This window comes from Homo sapiens, chromosome 2 (genome assembly GCF_000001405.40).
Source record: "Homo sapiens chromosome 2, GRCh38.p14 Primary Assembly".
Lineage (NCBI taxonomy): Eukaryota > Metazoa > Chordata > Mammalia > Primates > Hominidae > Homo > Homo sapiens.
Genome location: NC_000002.12, coordinates 239,775,680 through 239,798,988, shown reverse-complemented (window position 1 = coordinate 239,798,988; position 23,309 = coordinate 239,775,680). Strand labels below are relative to the sequence as shown.

General features: G+C 46.8%; 1 long non-coding RNA gene across 1 annotated transcript in view; it reads right to left on the bottom strand.

Moving 5' to 3' along the window:
- LOC150935 (uncharacterized) overlaps window positions 1-23,309 on the bottom strand; it is a 37,805-nt gene that overhangs the window by 1,676 nt on the left and 12,820 nt on the right. The window contains exon 2 of the long non-coding RNA NR_037808.1: window positions 18,564-18,685. This is a non-coding gene — a long non-coding RNA (uncharacterized LOC150935). The remainder of the gene's footprint in view (window positions 1-18,563; window positions 18,686-23,309) is intronic.

The window sequence follows — 23,309 nt, the reverse complement described above, 5'->3', positions numbered from 1 at the left end:
AATCTGTAGATTTCCCTTTTCTATAATTATTCTTTGAAATATATCTGCGAAAGGAACATTCCTGCATATTTCATTTTGTGTAGTCATTGCTAGATTTCAAGATGAGAGGGAGAGCAAAGAAAGAAGGCCTGGGTCCAGTGGAACTCTCAGGGTTCTGGATAAATCGGTTTCTTATGGCTCTTTTCCAAGTGGGGAGTGCAAAGGAGGATTTGGGACATGTGCACTCTGCGCTGTCTTTGTTCTGGGTTAAAGCTCACATTTCAGCTCTCTGTGGCTGTCTGTAGAATGGGTTGAAATAAATGCAAGTCCCAACCTTTCGGAGAACCTTTCAGAGAACTTCCAAAGATAAAAATACAAAGACAAAAATATGAACCTCTTCAGAGGACCAGGAAGGTGCTTCAAGAAGCCAAAAACAATAATAAGTAACTGAGTGCCCGCTGTGTGGCAGGAACCAGGCTCAGCGCTTAGATTACCATTTGGATTTTTTTGCTGTTGACTATAATTTGATTTATTGTTTCCTTTTTAACAGGACAAAATGATGCCATCTAAAACTGTCTTTAAATTGTTGGAAAGCATTTACCCCTCTTCCTGATCATCCCAACGCCCCACAGGGAACAGGCCAGGAATGAATCATGTACTTCACCTCTAGTACCTTGCATAGAGTGGGCTTTTTATGAGTGGCCAACAGATGCCATTCATGGTCTAGGACTCCACTAATTTGAGAGGAAAGGAAGAAAAAATGAAGTTCATTTCTCTCACTCACCTGTATTAAAATGTCTAAGGGAAGGCATCCATTTTTTATAATGGTGAACTATGTTAACCATTGTCACTAACAAATCCTAAAAATCTAGATTAAATGTATCTTAAAAATTGGTTTAAAGGCACCAGAGGACTACCAAGGCAAAGAATAGTCCAGGGGTCAGGATCCTGGAGAGAAGAAAAACAAAGAGAAATGAGTCCAACATTTATCTCTTCTTCCTACGTGGAGACATTCATAATCTTTGGCCCAAACAACTGGTAAGTTGAGCAAATTGCCCCAGCTGAGAGCCTGAGAAGTGTCAGCCACATCATGGGGCTTGGAGGACAGCAAATGGAATGAAACTCCCATCAGAGAGTATGGCCTAGCAGAAATTCCAGTCTTCACCTGAAGTCAATAGTCAGCCTTCTCAATGACCAAACACCTCACTTCCAGGTGGGGCTAAGTGAGCTTCCCCTTCCCCTTAACTAGTTACCAGAAGCAAAAATAAATCCTCTTTGGAGGAAGATAAGTAAAAACCTCAAACTTTGATTTGCCTCAAATATTTATACACATTATCAACTGTTCAATCAAGATTACCAGACATGCTAGAGACAACAGCAAATGACCAAACACCAGTGGGGAAAAACAGAGGATAGAAAGAGATCCAAAGAAGATACAGATACAGAAGTTACTATGGACTTTAGAATAGCTCATGAATATGCTTAAAAATAGCTGGCAACACAAAAAATTTCAATAAAGAGCTGAAAATTTTGAAAAATTCAAATGGAAAATAGAATTAAATTAAGAAGTCATCAAATGGATTTAAAAGCAAATCAGACATGACAAAAGAGCATATTAATGAGCTAGAAGGTGAGTCAATAGAAAACAGCCAAAATGAGGGACCAAGAGGCAAAAGGATGATATGTACAGTATAAGAACATAAAAAGCACGTGGGAGATGGGAAAAATAAAAGCCTAATGTATACGCGGTTGGAGTCAGAGAGAGAGAGAGAGAGAGGAAAAGAGAGAATAGGACAGAGCATATAGAAATGTTGAGGATATGCTGGCTGGGCATTTTCTAAAACACTACGTGCATCAAGCCACAGAACCAGCAAAGTTACAAACTCCAAGTAGAATGAATAAAAAGAAAGCCACAGCTAGGCATATTGTAGGAAAACTACTGAAAACCAAGGACAAAAAGAAAATATTAAAGGAAAGTTGGGTCATCTCATACCCATTACGATAGCAACTACAAAAAAAAAAAAAGAAAATAAGTTTGCTGAAAGAGGTGGAGAAATTGGAACCCTTGTGTACTGTCGGTGGGAATGTCAAATGGTGCAGCCACTACCCAAAACAATACCGTGATTCCTCAAAGCATTAAAAATACTTTTACCATATGATCCAGAAATTCTATTTATGGGTATACTCCCAAAAGAACTGAAAGCAGAGTCTCAAAAAGATATTTGAAGATTGATTTTCATAGCAATATTATTCACAATTGCTAAAATGTGGAATGAACTCAGGTATTCATCAATAGATGAGTGGATAGGCAAAATGTAGTATACATATAAATGCAATGTTATTTAGCCTTAAAGAGGAAGGAAATTCTTTTTTTTTTTTTTTTTTTTTTTTTTTTATTGATCATTCTTGGGTGTTTCTCGCAGAGGGGGATTTGGCAGGGTCATAGGACAATAGTAGAGGGAAGGTCAGCAGATAAACAAGTGAACAAAGGTCTCTGGTTTTCCTAGGCAGACGACCTTGCGGCCTTCCGCAGTGTTTGTGTCCCTGGGTACTTGAGATTAGGGAGTGGTGATGACTATTAACGAGCATGCTGCCTTCAAGCATCTGTTTAACAAAGCACATCTTGCACCGCCCTTAATCCATTTAACCCTGAGTGGACACAGCACATGTTTCAGAGAGCACGGGGTTGGGGGTAAGGTCATAGATCAACAGGATCCCAAGGCAGAAGAATTTTTCTTAGTACAGAATGAAACGAAAAGTCTCCCATATCTACTTCTCTCTACACAGACACAGCAACCATCCGATTTCTCAATCTTTTCCCCACCTTTCCCCCTTTTCTATTCCACAAAACCGCCATTGTCATCATGGCCCATTCTCAATGAGCTGTTGGGTACACCTCCCAGATGGGGTGGTGGCTGGGCAGAGGGGCTTCTCACTTCCCAGTAGGGGTGGCCGGGAAGAGGCGCCCCCCACCTCCCGGAAGGGGCAGCTGGCCGGGCGGGGGCTGACCCCCCCACCTCCCTCCCGGACGGGGTGGCTGGCCGGGTGGGGGCTGACCCCCAACCTCCCTCCCGGATGAGGGGGGCTGGCCAGGTGGGGGGCTGACCCCCCACCTCCCTCCTGGATGGGGCGGCTGGCTGGGCGGGGGGCTGACCCCCGACCTCCCTCCCGGACGGGGCGGCTGGCCGGGCAGGGGGCTGACCCCCCACCTCCAAGAGGAAGGAAATTCTAACACATGCTACAACATGGATGAATCTTGAGGACACTGTGCTAAGTGAAACGAACCCATCACAAAAAGACAAAGGCTGCATGAAAGTATTTGAAAAAGGTATTCAAAGTACTTGAAAAAAGTATTAAAGAAAGTGGAATGGGGTTTGCCAGGGGCTAGGGGAAGAGGGATGGGGAGGGAGTGTTTAATGGGGACAGAGTTTCAGTTTGGGAAAATGGAAAGTTTCTGGAGACGATGGTGATGATGGTTGTACACATTCGGAATATATTTAATACCATGGAATTGTACACTTAAAAATGATTATTGTGGAAAATTTTATGTTATGTGTATCTTACCACAATAAAAATTGAGAGAAAAAAAGAAACTGGGGTTGGATCTGGGAAAGATAGATACATTATTTACAAAGAAATAAACCCGACAGCTACTTCCTCAACAGAAAAAAGTAGAAGTCAGGAGACAATTGAATGATGTATTTCAAGTGCTAAAAGAAAATAATTGCCAACTCAGAATTCTATGCCCAGTGAAAATATCTTCTAAACCTAAAGGTAAAATAGATGTTTTCATATAAAGTCTGAGAAAATTTGCAACTAAAACACAGACCTAAAGGGGATTATTTATTTATTCATTTATTTATTTATAATTAATTAATTATTATTTTTTTGAGACTGAGTCTCACTCTGTTACCCAGGCTGGAGTGCAGTGGCATGATCTCGGCTCACTGCAACCTCTGCCTCCTGGGTACAAGAGATTCTCCTGTCTCAGCCTCTCGAGTAGCTGGGATTACAGGTGTGCCCCACCACACCTGGCTAATTTTTGTATTTTTACTAGAGACGGGGTTTCCCAGTGTTGGCCAGGCTGATCTCAAACTCCTGACTTCAAGTGATCCACCCACCTCGGCCTCCCAAAGTGCAGGGATTACAGGCGTGAGCCACTGTGCCCGGCCAGTACAAGGGGATTCTTCTTGTAGAGGGAAAACGATCCTAGGTGGAATCTTTGAAATGAAGGAATAACGAGAAAAAAGGTAAACCTACATGGGCCAATCTAAGTGAATATTTAGTGTTTAGGACAACAAAAATCATGTTCTGTGAGATTTAAAATAAATGTAGAACTAAAATACGGTAGCATAGTAGCAACAGTAGCATAGAAGTAAATGGAATCTAAATATTCTTAGGCCCTTGCAGTGTATTAAAATTATTTTGGAGTTTTATTTTTATTATATAAACTCATAAAATTTTACTGTATGTTATGTAAAATGTACATAATAAAACTAGATCTTATAAATTTGTATGTAAATATATACTATATGAATATACATATTTTATAAGTGAAGGATACATTTTGAAAATCTCTAAGCCTAAGATAACCTCTAAAAGAAGAGTGAAGAAATGTACGATTAAGGAGTTTATAGGAAGGAAAAAATTCACAAAAGAAAATTAATACTGTATAAGCTGAAGGAGAGAAAAAGATACAAACGACATTGAGGAAAAATGGAAAAACAATAAAACAGTAATTTTAAAGGACAGAGTGTCCTTGCCATCCACATAACCCATGACTCATCCCAGAGTATGGAAGGACTCCTGGACATCAATGAGGAAACGTCAGAAAGCCGAATGGGAGATAAGCAAGAGACCTAACAGGCTGTGGATGAAAGAGGCCACACAGCTGGCCAGTGGACATCGAGGTGCTCAGCCTGGCCAGATGTCAGAGAAACACACATGAAGGCCACAGCATGGTGGAAAGGCTCAAAGACAGCAGCCTGCGCTGGCCAGGGCTGGCCAGTTGTGGGGCAGCGGACCCTTGCCTGCTGGGGGAGCCTATGGTGGCACAGCTATGTTGGAGGCCAGTCAGGGCATTGCTATACCCTAGCGTGCACGCTCCCCATCCCACCAATGGATCCCCATCCCAGCCAGAAGCCAGAAGCCATGCACACATACCCAAACCTGGGCACAAGGATGAGACATCCCTGAATAGCAGGATGAATGCATTGTGGCATCCAATTCAGTCCCAATCAGCAATAGCAATGAGTGCACTCACAGCATGCATGCACTCCCAGGCATGACTCTTACAGGTGCAATGGTGAGTAAAAGATGTCAGGCCAGGAGAATATATGCCACATCTTTCCATTCATGCAAACTTCAAATCTTCACATTCATACAAACTTCATGCAAACTTTAAATCTTCAAGTTCATACAAACTTCAAATCTTCACATTCATACAAACTTCATGCAAACTTTAAATCTTCAGATTCATACCAACTTCATACAAACTTCAAATCTCCATACAAACTTCAAATCTTCAAGTTCATACAAACCTCCAATCTTCAAATTCATACAAACTTCATATCTTCAAATTCATGCAAACTTTATACAAACTTCGAATGTTCACATTCATACAAACTTCGAATGTTCAAATTCATACAAACTTCAAATCAGTGGGATGCGTACCGTGGGGAGAAGGGGCCAGGTGGAGGCTGGGGAGGGCTCCAGCCCCAGGAGGCCCAGGAGTACCAGTAACACCCTGCCTGTTTGTCTGGAGGCGGTGAGACAGGTGCTGTGAAAATCCAGCATGCTGTACCCTGGTGATTTGGCACTTTTCTGTAGGGAAGTTAAACTTCAATAAAAGAGTTTATTTAGAAAAATAAAAGAGGCCAGGCCCATTTTTGGGGTTATGGTTATGTAAGTGCAGATATTCTAGGAAACTCCTTATTAAAAGCATGGTCTAGAGAAGAGATGATGTCATTCTGTCCCAGCACTGTGCGGGTATAAGGCAGCAATGTCAGGATAAAGTGGAGCCCAGCCTGGAGCGGGCAGCAGAGGGATGGGAGGATGCGTATGTTGGCGGTGACCCTGCAGGGCCTGGGTGGGCCGAGGAGCAGCTGCAGACTCCCACTGCTCTCACGAAGACCTGGCCAGGCATGCGCAGCGTGCTGTGGTGGGGGCAGATGTGAACAGCACTGGCCCCTCCCTGTCCCTGAGGGCCCTGCCACTCACCATGGGATGCCAGCAGTGCAGGGGCTTGACCTGCTGGGATAGACTCCGGCCGCATTAGGACCCCTGGCAAGGGGCCTTGTTTCCTTATTTGTTTGCTTGGACTTGTGAGTTAGGCTAACTTGATTTTTTTTTTTTTTAAAGTCACTAACCCTGTAGTCCATACGAGCCCACGAGGGTCAGCTCGGGCACTGGGAGACAGCCCAGGCCAGACACGGACAATGTGGATGATGTGGACGACGTGGATGAGGGCACCTGCAGGCAGCAAGGCCCCGTCCTGTGGGAAAGCAGGAGGCACTGAGTGGAGCCAAGCACAAGGTCCCTGCTCTCAGACTCTCCTTTCAGACAAGGCACGTGCACCAGGCAGGAGCATGGGGGACAGAGAGGAGTCCAGATGCCGCCCCTGGGCTTGCTTCCTGGGAAGGCAGAAGGGGCTGGGAGGGAAGCTCATCCCCAACATCCAAGGACCAACTCCCGAGCTGTGTGCTGTGTGGGGTTTTCCTGGGTGAGAGACTGTTGCAGGGACAATTCGTTTCCTTCCACGCAGCAGCCCTGAGCCCTCTTGCGAGGGAGACGAGGCAGGACTGGACCTGCTGCTGCAGGGGATGGGAAGGCAAGCTGCCGAGGCCCTGGCTGCAGGAGCATGTGGGCATGCTGAAAGGTCTGGGCGTGCAGTCAGAGGCCATGTCCTAGGGGCTCCAGTGACCCCCTTAGCACCTGATGGCCTCACTCCTCCTCCTCTGTTTCGGGTGGTTGGGCTTCTGTCCTCCTGGCTTCCTGGGGCCCCTAGAGCCGCATGCTTTAATTCCATGGCAGCCCCATTGCTCACCCGTGCTCCCCACCTCGTCTGCCTGGGCTCTCTCTGCGTCCACACCCATCCCTGTCAACAGCATGGCAGCCACCCCTGCTGGGGGAACGGGCACATCCTACGTCACCGGATTTTCCACAGTGCTTCAAAAACTGCCTGGAATTGGGAGTGCGGGTCCTCGCTGGGTTTATGAACTTGGAATTGCATTTCTGAGAAGCATCTTAGGCCGATAATAGCACTCCACCATGGAAACACTCCCAAGCTCACTGGCCATGGCAGTTTTAATGCTGCAGTTTATAAAAGAGTTTTTAATTATGCAATGCTCCCTTCCTGTGCGGTATTATGCTTGAGTCCTAATCCTTCGAATTAAGTGGCTAATCGTGAAAAATGCCTCTTGTTGTTCTCTGTAATACTTTAGTTCTGCTCTTTACAGGACTTTTTTTATTTTTTTTTAAGAGAGAAAGAGGTATTATATAATACTGATGTAATAGAATGCAGCTGGAGTTCCAGTATGCAATAGAGTAACTATGGTATTCTTGAAAAGGCTGCTTCTCAGTTAAAATCTTCCCATTTTAGAAAAACAAGGAGGCTCAAATTATGCTACGTTGATATCTGTAGATTGCTCAGTATTGTCCAGGACCGTGGGAGTGCATGAGCAAGAATGGGGGGGGCTCTGGTTCCACTTCCTTGTTTTACAAGTAAGGAAACTGAGGCACAGAGACATTCCCTGCTCAAGGTTCATAGCTGCTCAGTCCAGGTCCTCATAGCTGCTCAGTCCAGGTGCTCATAGCTGCTCATTCCAGGTCCTCATAGCTGCTCAGTCCAGGTCCTCATAGCTGCTCAGTCCAGGTCCTCATAGCTGCTCAGTCAGGTGCTCATAGCTGTTCAGTCCAGGTCCTCATAGCCGTTTAGTCCAGGTCCTCATAGCCGTTTAGTCCAGGTCCTCACAGCTGTCAGTCCAGGTGCTCATAGCTGCTCAGTCCAGGTCCTCATAGCTGTCAGTCCAGGTCCTCATAGCTGTCAGTCCAGGTCCTCTGCCTCCAGTATGCAGAACGCTGCACACGGGAGGAGGAAGCTTCCATCTGCGGCTCTCAGCTTCCTCTTCATCCATGAAGGGAGCAGTCGGCGAGTGTGAGTGGGTGTCCAGGCTGCCTCCTGGGGCCTCGTGCTTTTTAAAAAAACATCCACACTGTATCCTCCCCTACTATGCATGAGGAAACAGAATGATACTAGGTGGGATTATATGGTAGAGAATTCTTACCGAAGAGAAACCACAGAATTAACAGTGAACACTTGCTGGCCCACAGTCTGTTCGAATTCTGCCTCATAGCTCACACGCTCTGCAGGCCAGCCTGGGGATGACCTGAAACGCTGCCCTTCTCCCCTGGGGAGTGGGCATTCAACAGAACCTACGAGCTGCCTGAGCCGTGTGTCAGTCATCTCAGTGACAATGTGTGCCAAGTGCTGGTCGTGGGTAATAGCTTCGGAGTCCCCGTCTGCGGGTGGTTGGTGGAGCTTCAGCAGGAGTCAGCGGGGCCTGGAGGGCTCCATGCCCGGGAGGAAGAGTGCTCGGTGCTTCCCTGTCCCCTTCATGTCCAGCAGTCCCTGAGCCTGTGACTGCCCTGGTCCAACTTCCGTGAACTTCAGGTTTTAATAGTCTCCCTTAAGAATGTAAGGGGATGTTTATAAAATAAGATGCTGGCAGGGTGCTGGGTGCCAAGAAGCAGCAAAGATGGTGGGGCACAATCCCACCCTCAGGTCTTGCCATCAGCCTGGAGGGCACTGGTCTGCTCTTTGGAGCCTGTGTTTGAGAGACACGTTGTTAGATGCTTGCTCTGCGTTCTCTTTCTCCCCTTCTCCAGGATGTTCTTTTCTTTTATCATTGTTCTCTCCTGCATCCGGCGCACTTGAGGCCTGGCCAGACCCCCTGATTCCTTGGTTCTGCCTCCCAAAGTGAGAAAGTGGGGGTGGGCACTGCTGAGTGAACCTGTCCCCCACCTCCTGGACTTCCCACGACGCTGCCTCCTGGGAAGGACTTCAGAGGTCACCCTGTTCCACTCCTTCACTTTCCAGGCCAGGAAACGGAGGCTCACAGCTTCCTGCTGCTCACAGATAAAGTGAATTTCAGTCTGGGCCTTGTGGCGCTGCCCCCAGGATCTGGGGCGGGGTGAGAAAGCGCTGCTCTGAGAATTGAGCCTGGTGAGGGGCCCAGTCTCTGAATCTCAGACCTGCCTTTCACACTGTGCTCCAGGGCCAGGGGCCTGCAGGTGCAATTTTACATACTCCACTGTCCTTAATGTCTACAACTGTTGAAATTCCAAAAATACAACAATGACTTTCTCTTTTAGAAAAAAATCGACCTGTCCAAGACTTGGAAGCCCTAGAGAAATGTGGCCTGGTGCCATGGGACAAAGACCACACAGAGGCTGGCTGTGGCACACCCCCAGGAGGTAATCCTGCTCTCCTGAGGCCATCCTCGTGCTGGACATCAAGTATTCCCTCCAACGTCCGTGTCCCTAGGCACTGAGGACACAGAGATCTAGCCTCAAGTGGTTTCAGCAGGAACCCTGTGGGGTTAAATTCCCAACACGACTAATGAGGCAGGAGTAAGGGTAGGAGGCCATACTGACGGGTCTCCCTGTGGGAAGCCTGGAAGACTCTTCCCTGCACCTTCATGCATCAGCACCTGACTCTTTTGCAAGGTAAGCGCTCTTGCAGGATACCAGCCGCCTGCCAGATGGTTACCTGTTCCTGATCCCTGGCCCAGGAAAGAGAACAAAACCCCTTTTTCCTGATGTAGCTTCCTCAATCTCCAGCCAATCACCACCAAAAGCCCAAGAAGCTATTAGCTATAAATTCTTGCCTTGTGGGGGGTGGCCAGGGACTTCTCCAGGGTCCCTCATGTGCTAGGCTCAAGGTTTAGCTTATAGTGACCTTTTCTTCATTTTAGTAGTCCAAACACATCCACAGGTGGAGATTTCATATGCTAATTATGCATGGAATACGTGTTAGATCATGTAGATTCTGAGCACATGCGCTAGCCGCAGGTCCGCCTTTGCACACCTGACCTCACCAGTGTTTTATGAATATTCATACACAGCTCCCATAAGGGGAATTCCTCTTAAGGCACTGGCTGCTGTCTCTCCCTTTGAGAGGTCCACCCTGCCTCTCAGAGTGTACCTTTGCTTTGCAATAAACTTCTTTGCCTACTCTTACTTTGAACTTGCTCTCAAATTCTTTTTGTGACAAACTCAAGAACCTGAACCAACCTACCAATAACACTTTTACAACATGAAAATTCAAGCACAGCAACTAAATTAAAGTAGCTCGATGGCCTGATCCTTGGCTTTTCAGTCACGTGAATGCTTAGATCTTAACTGATTTCCTCAGGCTATTTTTAACAACAGTGGCTCTGTTGATATAGAATAAATACAAGCTAGCATAGCCAATGACTACTCATGGGAGCAGTAGGTAATATCAAGGTGTTTTTCCTCTTCCCCAACGCTGGAGATATTTATTAGAAAGGGAAAGTGAAGGGAGAAAGGATAACCACATGTTCATGCTAAGAGGACCCATCCATCACTTTAATTCAAGTCAGAATTTAAAAATATCGCACTACGTTCTTGTTTGTTGGATCCAGAGATCCAAGTTATTGGGCATTTCAATCTTGACATTTGCATCCAGACAGTTTGCAAAGGGTAAAGGTAGAAAATGCTGTAAACCCAATCAACTGCTGCTTGATATTCCAAGTAGGGTGAGTAACCTTTTCAAATAATAGAGGAACTTGTGAGTGATAAGATGAACTTTGACCTCTGGAATCACAGATTCTTGGTAATGCATCTCTTTACCTTTGACTTGCCTTCTTTATAAATACCTTGAGGTGCTGGGTTTTGATAATAAAGAAACAAGATCTAGTAAATCTTGTAGAGCTTACAGGCAAGATCCCATATGTCACTGTGGTGCTTTCTGGCTGCAACCGCAGCAACCTTCATGACACCCTGTCATCCTGCCTGGCCACACTGGCCTTTCCAATTGCAGAAACACTCTTGGGGGCTGGAGTGGGTGCAATCCTGCATCATGACCAGAGCTTTCCAAGAAGGGATCTTATTCCAGCCTGCCGATGTGCATGGGGCAGACCTGCCTCAGTCACCCTGACTTCATTTCTAATTGCTTTTTCTAATGACGTGGTGCTGTGGCTGAGATGGGCAGCCTCGCCATGGTGACACTGCCCGTGTAGATGTAGATGAGGTCAGCTCATCTACATCTGCCTCTGCCATTCCAGTGGCCCATGGAGCTTTGGTTGCTGGGTCTCCAGGGACATAAGGCACAGTAACCACTGTTCAAACAGGACAGTCCTCAGCGTAAAGAGGACAGTAGAAATGATAAAAATATGTAATGTTTGAAATATGTATTTATTAACCAGCAAATTGATTACATTACATTACTGAATCCATAAAATAGCTCCGTGAATAAATAAATTTCAAAAATAACATTCCTATTAAAAATAATGTATTTTCATGTTCATCAAAGCAAAATAATCTTTATATTGGATATCTGAACACTGAAAAAATAGCCAAACAGATTATTCTTGATATATATTCATATACTATATTTGAATCTGCTACTTAGCCATTTCTCTTTTCATGAAATTCATAGTTTATCTCTCATCTTTTTAATCTCTTCATAAAATTACAATCTTCTTTAAATTTTTGCTTTATCATTAATAAATTTAAAATGATAGACACCTTCAATGGACTCTTCTCTGCTGCCCATCGTATGTTAGAGAAAACATTCTCTCTAACCGTGCTGAGGTATCAAGTAAGTGCAGCAGAATTTCTGCTAAGTGGAGGATAATCTTAATTCTATTTCTCATATATAAGTGTGTAAATATTTCAGGCCAAATGTTTCCATAGATACTATCTTTATGCCTCCATTCAGAGTACATTTTTTTTGGCAAAGATAGGATAAAACTTGTCAAATAAATTGTGTCTATTTATGGTTCTTTTGAATCTCTCACCATATTTAGATCATGCAAAACTGTAAGACTTCTCAATTTAATTCCATTCTGGTACAGAGTATAAATTTATCCAATTAAAAATAGGTGCTCCCTCGAAAGATTTTTCCCACAAATTGAGATATACTAAAGCAAAGCCATACAATTTGAAAATTAAAGCTCATACATGGCTAGAGCTTTCACCAAGTTAATGTGTTCGATTTCTTCTTTAATTTTATTCCATTTACATTTAACACAATTACCAATAAAGTCTAACTATTTGCTTTCCATTTGTCCCATCTGTTTTGTTCTCTTCCTTTTTTTAATTAATAAAGTGCTATTGTAGTTATTGAATTTTGTTGGACATTTAAATGTGCATTTTTGTATTTTTCTTTTAGATGTTGCCTAGAGATTGCAGTAAGCATCCTTGATTTACTAGATCTACCTGGAAGTACTGCTTTTATTACACTCAGAGTAACACAAGTGTGATGGCCGTGGTGCTCTGAGGGTTCTCAGGGTGCTCAGAGAACCCACTGTCAGGAAAGTAGCTGGTGGATAGGTTCTAGCTGTGCACCTGCAGACACACCATAGTGTCATGCCAAGGCTTTGTTCCCCTCCCCGGGCTGTTCTCAGTCAATCATGGAGCATGGTAGGAGTGCAATGCTAGCTTGTTCCTGCCAACAGGGTTCCTTTGACAGACAATCTTTGCTGGGGCTCCCTTGCAAACTGGCTGAGACCACAGTCTGAGGCTCTTCCTGTCCAGTCCTTCCTCCTCTCCTCTCTTCTTTCACAGGTGTCAGACCAGCATGATGGTCTGAAGATTCTACGCACCCAACCCCCTTGTCCTCCCCTGTGTCTTTCACAGGTGTATCCCCAATACATCTCTGCAAGTCTCAGTTTTTAAAAAAACATCTGCTTCTTGGTACCAGATCTGACAAAAGAAGAATCTTACAGGAATGTAATTCCATTCATTCCCTTCTGTCCTTTTGCTACTATGTATTGTATTAGCCCATTTTCATACTGCTATGAAGAAATACCCGAGACTGGGTAATTTATAAAGAAAAAGAGGTTTAATGAACTTACAGTTCCACATGGCTGGGGAGGCCTTACAATCATGGTGGAAGGTGAAGGAGGAGCAAGGGCATGTCTTACATGGTGGCAGGCTAGAGAGCATGTGCAGGGGAATTGCCTTTTATAAAACCATCAGATCTCATGAGACTTACTCACTGTCAGGAGAACAGCATGGGAAAACCCGCCCCCATGATTCAATTACCTCCCACCGGGTCCCTCCCATGGCATGTGGGGATTATGGGAGCCACAATTCAAGATGAGATTTGGGTAGGGACACAGCCAAACCATATCATGTGTTTTACAAGCTTGGCAAACATAGTTGCTATTGTTGCTTTGCACAATTAACATCTCTCATATTTGTACACATATTTTATCTTTCTCCAGCTCTGTGTTCCTTTTGCAATTCCAATTTCCAGTTAGAATTGTGTTCCTGCAATCTGAAGAATTTCCTTTACTGTTTCTTGACGTATGGTCTGATGGCAATTCATTCTCTTTGCCTTTGTTTGTCTGAAAGTGTTGTTATTTTTACCTTCATTTTTGAATTTTTTTTCTGAATATAGATTTCTAGGTTGGCAGGATCCCCCCTCCACCCCTTTATTTAAAAATATCATTGCATTATTATCTGGCTTCCACTAGACCATCTACTATTATTCCACATCTTTCATGTTCTGTTTGGCTCTTTACCTTTTTTCTTTTATTTCTCTGTTTTATCTCGGATATTTTCTATTAACTTATCTTCAAGTCTACCAACTCTGTTTTCAGCAGTGTCCAGGCTATTTTTAAATCCATTGAATGGCTTTCTGATTTTGGATATTGTGTTTTTTTCTGCTCTAGAATGTCTGTTTGACTTCTTTTATAGATTTTAATCCCTGTTGAAATTCTCTGTCTTCCATTTTGTATATCTCTCCCTGGCACTTAACATATTAATCATAGTTATTTTTAAAACCTTATCTGCTAACTCTGATATCTGAATCACCAGTGAGTCTGATTTTCTTGTCTGTGGGTAAAAAATTATAGAGGAAGGCATGCTTTTCCTCCGAAGAGTTTGACATTTCCACTTTACTCTCCCATATTTCAATAATTATATCCCTTCCAGTTTCTTCTCAGTATCTTAAATTAGTTAATTAGAAAAACAATTTTTTTAGCTTTTATGATTGTTACTGGCAGGAGAATCAGAGAAATAGAAGCTACTTCATCATGATTGAAACTAAAGTCTTTTTCTTTCTTTTAGTTAGTTAAGTTTCAATGCCTTCCAATTATGGCTTTGTTTTCAATAATTGTACTTGCTTAAGTCCTTTGACACTCCAATTAGTTAACATTTTAAGCAAAGATTTCAAAATGTTTTTTATAATATATCATTGATAGCATTGCAGGATATTTAGGTTGATTTACAGAACTCACATATTCCTAAAATTAAATTTATGATAGGTAATAAGGGGAGAGATTTATTTCCATGATATGTATATTTATACAACATCAGTGTAACCATAAAACATTTATAGTTCAATCATTCCGTGTGTGTGTGTGTGTGTGTGTGTGTGTGTGTGTGTCTATAGTGTCAGTTTGAATGGGCCACAGGGTGTCCGGATTAACCATTGTTTCTGGGTGTGTCTGAGGGTGTGTCCAGATTGGATTAGCATTTGAGTTGGTGAATTCAGTAAAGTAGATTTCCCTCCCCAGTGTGGGTGGGCATTATCCAATCTGTCGAGAGCCTGAATAGAACAAAAGGTGGAGGAAGGAGAAATTTGCCCCTATCTTCCTGCCTCAATGCTTGATCTGGGAAAACTCATTTAATCTTCTTCTGCCCCTGGAGATGTTAACATCAGTACCCTAGTTCTCAGGACTTCTTTCTCAAAATAAATTAAATCCACAACTTTCCTGTGTCTGCAGCTTGCAGACACAGATTGTAATGCTTCTCAGCCTCCATAATCACTTGAGCCAATTCCATAATAAATCTCTCTCTCTACACACACACACACACACATACACACACACACACACATACACACACACACACACACCCCTATCTATCTATCTGTCTGTCTATCTATCTATCTATCTATCTATCTACTGTTGCTTCTGTTTCTTTGGAGAGCCTTAAATAAATGCATACATGCATACATACATACATATATGGACATTCCTCAGTGTCCACAGGGGATTGGTTCTAGCCCCTCTGTCTCTGGTAGATACCAAAATTCAAGGGTACTCAAGTCCTTTATAGTCAGACCTCTATATCTGCAGGTTCCACATTCGAAGATATGAAGATATGGAGGACTGACTCGCTCTCTGTCTCTCTCTCTCTCCACACACACACACACACACACAAATTTACACATGCATAAAATGATATATATAAATATACATAATTCAAAAACTTGATGGCTGTGACATCTATTTCAGTTGGTAGACTATCATACCTTGTTTGACAAAATTGTGGATTCTATTTGCACCACAACCAACTCCTGGTTTCCATCCTGCTGTGGTTTGAATGTGTTCCCCAAAGTTCATGTGCTAGGTTACATCACAAGGGCATTGCCCTCATGAATGAATTAATGCTCTTATTAAGAGAGTGGGCACCTGATGAAAGGATGAGTTTGACCCTCTCCCCTTCTCTCTCTCTCTCATACGCTCTTTTGCTCTTCAGTTTCCACTAAGGGATGATGTAGCAAGAAGGCCCTCAACAGATGCCGGTCCCTTGGATCTCCCAGCCTCTAGAACTATAAGAAATAAATCCCTGTTCTCTAAAAATTACCCAGTCCACATGTTCTGTAATAGCAGCACAAAATGGACTAAGACATGTCCTGAGGCTTCTTAGTTTAGCAAGAAACTTACCATAGTGCTGTACTCCACCAAACTTTGTATTTGTATTATCACTGCAAAACAACTAACTTTATCTCAATGTTGAATTGTTTGACTGAACTGCATCTACAATAATATCCGATGTTTCACTTCCAAGAGGATAAATTTCTCAAGGCCCTGCTTTGATTCCATAAATTAAATTTTGAAAATTGGAATCCTTTATTGGAATTAACGTAGTGGGTTTGCTGTTCACAGCATCTCATGGTGCTGGTTGAGTAATTGAAGAGCTGGCCTCTCAGAAGGTCTGTGAAGCCCTTCTTCTGTTACTGGAACCCACACGTGAGCAGCTAGGGCCTCATTCTTCATGTGTGCACACGGATGCTTAGAATTTGAAGTGAGCAAAATTAATTTAGAACAAGAATGAATTGATCTAAATAAAAAGTCATGCTTCATAGAATATATGTAAATGTGCCTTCTGTATCTGCATGTGTTACATTATGATTTTTGGTCACAGTTTTTTATGAATAACAACTAACTTTTTAAAGTAGATGCTGGTACATTTTCAGCAAATTTGTGTCTTCTACTTTTTATAAGTTCAGGATTATCACCATGGCTCCACAGTGAATGGTCCATGTCAATAAACATTTCATGCAGCTTACACATATTCATCATCACTGAGAAATAAATGGCATAGAATTTTGTGTTAAAAACAGCAACATTTTTAATTTTGTACTTTTTAAAGCTTATTGTACTGAAAGGATTCACTGCAAAGTTAAAAAGTTTTATCAAATGATAAATTGATTACCTGTATTCAACAATGGCAAAGCCGGCAAAGCCACCAAAGCAGAAGTCTCTGACCCATGATGCTCTGCAGTGGGGCCCACTCGGCTTGCACTTCCCTGCAAATGTGTATTTGTTTCTAGAGCTGCCCTAACAGCTTATCACAAATTGGAGCACGTAAAACAACAGAAATTGTATCTCTCACAGTTCATGAGGCCAGAAGTCTGAGACTGAGGTGTCAGCAGGGCTGGATTCTTCTGGAGGCTGTGAGGGTGCATTCCTTTCTCCCCTCTATGGCTCCTACCATGGCAGCAGCCCTTGGTGTTCCTTGGCTTGTAGATGGACCCCTCTAACTTCTGCCTTTATCTTTACATGGATTTCTTTCCTGTGTGTGTTTTCTCCTTGTCTCTATATGCAAATATCCATGCTATTGGATTTATGGCCCACCCTACTCCAGGATGACCTTATCTCAACTTGATAACATCTTTAGAGAACCTGTTTCCAAATAAGGTCACATTCACAGGTACTAGGGATAAGGATTTGAAATTATTTTGTTGGGGGGACACAATTCAACGCACATATACTTTCCTTATTATTTCCTATGTTTCCCCTGCATGGCAGCATCCTGCCACTGGGCATCTCACAGACCACGAGGCTTTGGGTCATGGCCCAACTGTTTGGCTCGGCCAGTGCCCAGCAGGGGCAGCAGCATCCGCACTGGAGGACTGAGGTCCTTCCTGCTCGCACCTGAGCACTGTACCTCCTTTAGATGTAAGAGCTGGTGCTATCCCTGAAGGGGGCATGTTAGTGATCATTGTCTGAAAGGTGTGGAATAGAGAGGCAAGTGTTTGAGGTATTCTTCCAGATCAGACCACCTGTTCTGTGCATGTGTGCCTCCTGCTGTTCTGACCCCAGGACACCCCCCTCCCCATGACCAGCCCCTTTGCTTTTCTCCTTGGGATGCCCAGCGACAGCCTCTGCCAGCCTGACCCAGGACAGGCATCCAGAAAGTGCGAGGAGGGATGTTTTGGAGGCTTAGGAAAAGCAACTGCAATGGCCTGAATGTTTGTGTCCCCCAAATTCGTGTGTTCAAGCCTAATCCCCAATGTGATTCTGTTAGGATGTGGGGCCTTGGGAAGGTGATAAAGTCATGGGGGCAGATCCATCCCGAATGGGATCAGTGCCCTTATAAAAGAAGCCACAGAGATCTCCCTTGCCCCTTGACCATTTGAGGACACAGGGAGAAGGCATCATCTAAGAACCAAGAAGCAGCTCTCAGCAGACATACAGCCTGTTGGCAGCTTGATCTTGGACTTCCCAGCCTCCAGAACCATGAGAAGTAAATATTTGTTGTTAATAACACACCCAGTTTTTGGTATTTTGTCATTTCAGCCCAAAGAACTAAGATGGCCACAGGCATCTCCAGCAGAACCAAGAGATGAAGAGGGGATTTGGACACAGGCAGATCTGGGCAGGGGTCCGAGTCCTGCCACGTCACAGTCACAGGGACCCTGCCAGGCCTTGGTGTGTCCACTCTAAGACAGCACCCAGCGCTGCCTCACTTCATCTGGGCACTGGGAGAATTCGTGCATGTGAAACTCTCAGCACAGTTCCAGCCGCTTCACAAAGGTCTTTTCCCTGCTCTATCCCCAGCACGTAGAACAGTCGGTTTCCCGCACATAGCAGACACTCAAAGCTGTGTGTTGAATTAACACATCGTCCTAATAGCCGTGATTATTTCTGACAACACTCTCGGGTGAGTGGCTATCACCCCCATGCCTGCCTTGTGATCCTACCATGGTCATTGCCTCCGACCCGACCCTGTCATACACACACGTCTGGAAAGGTGTCCACCTGGCTTTTGACAAGGGACCCCCCTGATCTTGGGCCCCCACTTGGCCTCATGGCACCCACCCCATGTGCTTGTCCAGTGGCGGTCAGGTGTCCTGGGCTTCTGCTGGTCTAGAAGGGGACCTGGAAGCATCCCATGGGCACGTGGTGGGTGTCCGGCCACAGCTGAGCCCCAGCCCCTGCTCCTGTGGGGAGAGAAAAGGCAAACGTGAGCATGCTCACTATTCCGGGTGATCCCCCTTCCCCATCACCAGTGTGGCCTCAGAACCCACCACCTTTCAGGGGTCTTTGCAGGCACTGGCGTCTCCTCCTTACCACTTGGTTGGAATTAGCTGAGAGTGGACTCCCTTCCCTATGGGAGAAGCTGTAAGCCTTGGTGTTAATTCCAGAGAGCCCCTCTGCTGGGCTACTTGGCATTTGGACTCTCTGTCAAGGGGGAAAGCCTGAGCCCTCCAGAAAGCTGAACCTGAGCGTCAGGCTTTGGTGCTAACTCTGAGAGAGGAGGGCAGGCCTGGGATGCAGGGAGGGAGGGAGCCACAGTCAGGCAGGTGATGGAGCTGGGCCCCGGTGAGTACAAGGGTTGCTCAGCCTCCTGGGAGAGACTGTCCCCTGAGAAGTGCCACAGAGCGGAGGGGAGGATTCTGTCCATGGGCGCCCACGTTCTGCTGGCCAGACCCCCCGCCTGTGGTACACAGGGCCACACGTGGTCCAGGGCATCTGTTGTTCCAGCATCGACAGGGGTGGGGTGTGGGCGACCCTGTGGTGGAGCTGATCTGGGGGCCACAGAAGCAGTGTCTGAGGGGTTGTGTGAGGGGCACAAGGAGTTAGCTGCTGCCTCCAGACCACCAGGAAGAGGTCAGAGAGAAGGACCCAGGAGGCAAGGCCGCGAGCAGAACTGGCCAGTGCGAGGCCGATGAGCTTTTTCTCTTGTCTGCACTTGGCCTAAAGACGGCATGAACTCAGAGAAGGGCTCCAAGAAAGGGTGGGTGCAGCACACAGGCTGCTTGGTGTGAGGTCTGGGGGTGTTGCTGAGATCATCCACAGGAGTCAGCTTCAGCCGTTCCAGGAAAGCAAGCCTGGGGCAGGGGTGCTGCCTCCTGGGGGTCTTCACCCCAAGATCCCAGCTGACATGGATGCTGTGTGTGGCCAGGGCAGGGCCTGGTGGCTGGGCCCCAGAAGGGATGGGCGGGTTGGGTAGACCTGGTTGGAACCCGCCTTTGCTACCTCCCACTGCACAGCCCCAGGCAGATGGCACAGACTCAGCCCAACACCATGTGCTGTGGATGAGTCCCTTGGGCACAGGGATGCAGGCCCTCGGGCACACAGAGACACCCCCTCCTGCATCTGTCCGCTGTGAGGGTTCCACCTGTCCTGTCACCTCAGTGCCTGCCATAAAGGCCGGGTTTGATAACTTGCCCCTGGGACATCAAGACCCCACCACCCTGACCTTCTAGCACCATGCCACAGGGGTTGGAGGGCTGGGGTTGGAGCACAGGGACGTGGGGACACGAGGTGGTCCCTCCTTTTTCCCTCCCAAGATGGGTGCTGACGGCGGCCAGTGTGGGAACCCAGCCAGCGCCTCCTGGCTCACTCCACTGTGCGCTTTCCAGCCTATCACAAATGCCATCAAAGAAGCAATTTTCTTCCTCCTTTACCGTGAGAAGGGTGGTCAGGCCCAGCCTCGACATGGGAAATGTGTTCCACGCCGACTGACTTCAAGTCACAGCACGGGCCTGCATCCAACCGTGGAACTAATTACTCGGCAGCCTGAGGGCGATTTCCAGCACAGGTGCGGCCGGCTCGCAGTGCTGTTCCCAGGCCCCGAGGGGATGCTGGCGGGAGGCTGGGGAGCTGCCTGGGTTTCACCTCCACTCCTGGGCCCAGGCAGGGTCCAGGCCTTCTCAGGTCACCCCCTAGGCAGCAGGCGTGACCCATCACAGCCTGCTTTGTGCCGAGTGCTGCACCAAACCCCAGGATCACTGAATCCCGCTGTCAGTCCCATGAGGATGGAGCAGCCCCACACCTGCCTGTTCCTGCACCAGGAATCTGAGGCCCGGGAGGGGCATGGCTTGCCCCAGATCACCGGGTTTGGAGCGGAAGTGGGGCTGCTTGTCCAGTCTAGTCAGTAGGAGCTTGGGCCCTGGGGCCAGGGGGCTTGAGTCCAAATCCAGGTCTTCCCTCCATGGCACCAGGACCTTAGGAGCAATTCCTGCTCTCCTCTGGGCCCGGGCTCCGCTCCTGGGAGTGGCGAGGTCATAGCTTCCCTCCCAGGGCAGCTTGAGCCCTGCCGATGGTGGCTCTCTGGGGCCAGCCCCAGTTCCAGCGTGGCACCCCTCAAGGCTCACGAAGCCTGTCAAGCTCATGTTTGTCGCCCAGGCAGCCTCCTCTTTCCCAGGCTCCCAGCAGATCTAGGGCATCTGTTAGCTGCCTTGAAGGTTTTGAACTTAATCCGTGTAAACCCATCCACAGAAGTGCATGGAAACCACCTACAGAAGCACCTGGACTGCTCCAAGCTCACCCTGGGCCAGCTCAGCAGCACGACAGGAGCTACTCCCTCATTCATTTGTTCAGTAAGTATTCGCTCAGAGCTGGACACCCCAGAAAGGCCTCCAAGCACATCATCCTCTCACTGCTGTCCTCAACCTCAACTTAAACTCAGGAAACTGAGGCCCAGAGATGCCTTGGCATTCCCCGGGTTCCATGCTCTCAGGACCCTAGCTTGGATTTGAACCTCAGTCCTAGCAATGCTTGAAGAGCACCCACCCACTGGGGTGGCACAGACCCTGGATGGGGCGGGGGGGTCTCAGCTCCCAAGAGGAGACTCAGGCCAGGGTGGGCCGGGGTGGGCGGGCGTACCCACCTTCTTCCACCCAGTGCATGCTTCCCGTTTGCTCCCACCTCTCCCGAGTGCAGGCGGAAGTTCCTCTGGCCTGAATGAGAACCAAAAACGCTCCCTAGGACTTCTGGATGCACAGCTGAGACCAGGAGGAAGCTGACGAAGGCAGCCGGGCTAGGGGCACCAGGCTTCTCTCCTCACCTCGCATGGCATCAAGACAGCAAAAGGGAATCAATGTGGAGCCCCCAGCAAGCAGGCGTGGCCTCAGGCAGGGCAGCGTGGGCTGGGGAGGGGGCTGAGCCCGGCTCCTCATAGACTTGTCTCCATCCCCAACCTGCCCTTGCCCAGGGACACAGAACTCCCACCAGTCAGACTTTGATCTCCCCCAGCCAGACAAGAAGGGGGCAGCTATTCCATAAAGAAATTAAATGCGTCGTTGAGGATGCTGTGCCTGCAGATTGATATTTATGGAATGAACAGGGAGACCCCCAAGCAGCCCGTATGTATGGCTGTTGATGTCCCCGAGCAAAGGTGTCCCCGAGGTCCTCTTTCTGGCATTCACCAGTCCCCTCTGTGCCCCAACTGGCATTTCCTTTGCTTCATTCTTCAAAATACCCGGTGATCCCGGGTTGTCCATGCCTGTATTTGAGAAAATCCACTACAGAAAGGAAAGAGAGGCAGAAAAATACATAGCTGACCCTGCAGGAAATGAACACAACACACGGAGCAGGAAGAAAACCCTTAAAAAGCCAGAATTCCCATCCTCTGTGGAACAGGAGGGTGGAGCCTTCCCGGACCCAGAACAGGGTGCCGTGCGAGGACGCAGGTGAGAGCAAGAACAGCCCCTGGAAAGATGCGCTTGCCAAGACTGAGACAGAACAACAGCCAGCTGCGGTAGAAGTCTTGGTGGAGAAAGTTGACGAAATCTTCCAGAAAGTCAGATGGAAAGACAATGAAATGGAAAACGTGGTAACAGAGGAGAGGAACTGAATTCTCTTGAGAAGAAATGAGACCCCACGTCACTCAGCAAGGAAGGCTTGAGCCGGACTCTGGGCTGCAGCCCACTGCTCGCTGGCGGTCCTGACCCCGCGGGATCCCTCCCTGGGTGGGCGCCTGGTCCCACTGGCCTCGGGTGGTGGCTCTGTGATTCACCGTCTTTCCTTTGTGCCCTGGGTGTCTCGTTCTCCCTGCTAGAACCAAGGACTGACAGGGTATTGTCTCTTATGTAAGTGAATCTCACAGCAATTTTATTCTTTCCAAACTCTGAAGGCATAAGAATAACAGGAAGGTCATGATGGGATGGGGCAGCGGCAGGCGTGGGGCCTCTGGGCTGTCTGCCGGCTCCTGGGGAAGTCAGCAGGCACCCCTGCCACCTCTGCTACTGTGGCCAATTCATGTCGCTGAGCATTCCAGCTCAGGGAAGGCTGGACTGAAGGGAAATGGATCCAGGGCCCCCTTAAAACCATGGAACTATAACCCAGCTGATACCAGGGGCCTCACCTCGGCTGCCTGCCCTGATTTTTTGTCTCATCTTTTAGGATTTTACTAGGACATTTAAATCAAGCTGCACGCAAACGTGTCAACCACAGTGCAATAAAGAAAAATGCCCTCCTATGATGAAAGAGCCGTGGTCTGCGATAAACATGAAGGCTGAGGCTCTGGTGGCATTTAAAACTGGGGAAGAGCTGAGCTGCAGTAAAGCATATCTGCGGTCGCTTCCCCATTGTCACAGCCCCCCGTGCATTTCTGAAAAATTAACAAGGCTAATGTTCGAGATCTAGAAAGCTGCCATTTCCCACATACCAGCGCTTTCTCATAATCTTTTTGTGTAGGAATCAAAGGGTAATGGGAGCCACGTGCTGTTTATGGAGCAGCAACGGGTTTTCCGTGCTGCCCCGTGACGGCGGCTCAAGGAAATGCACACTCTCCTGGGAATTCGACTTTCTGGCTTTATTCACACAGTGTCTATTTCA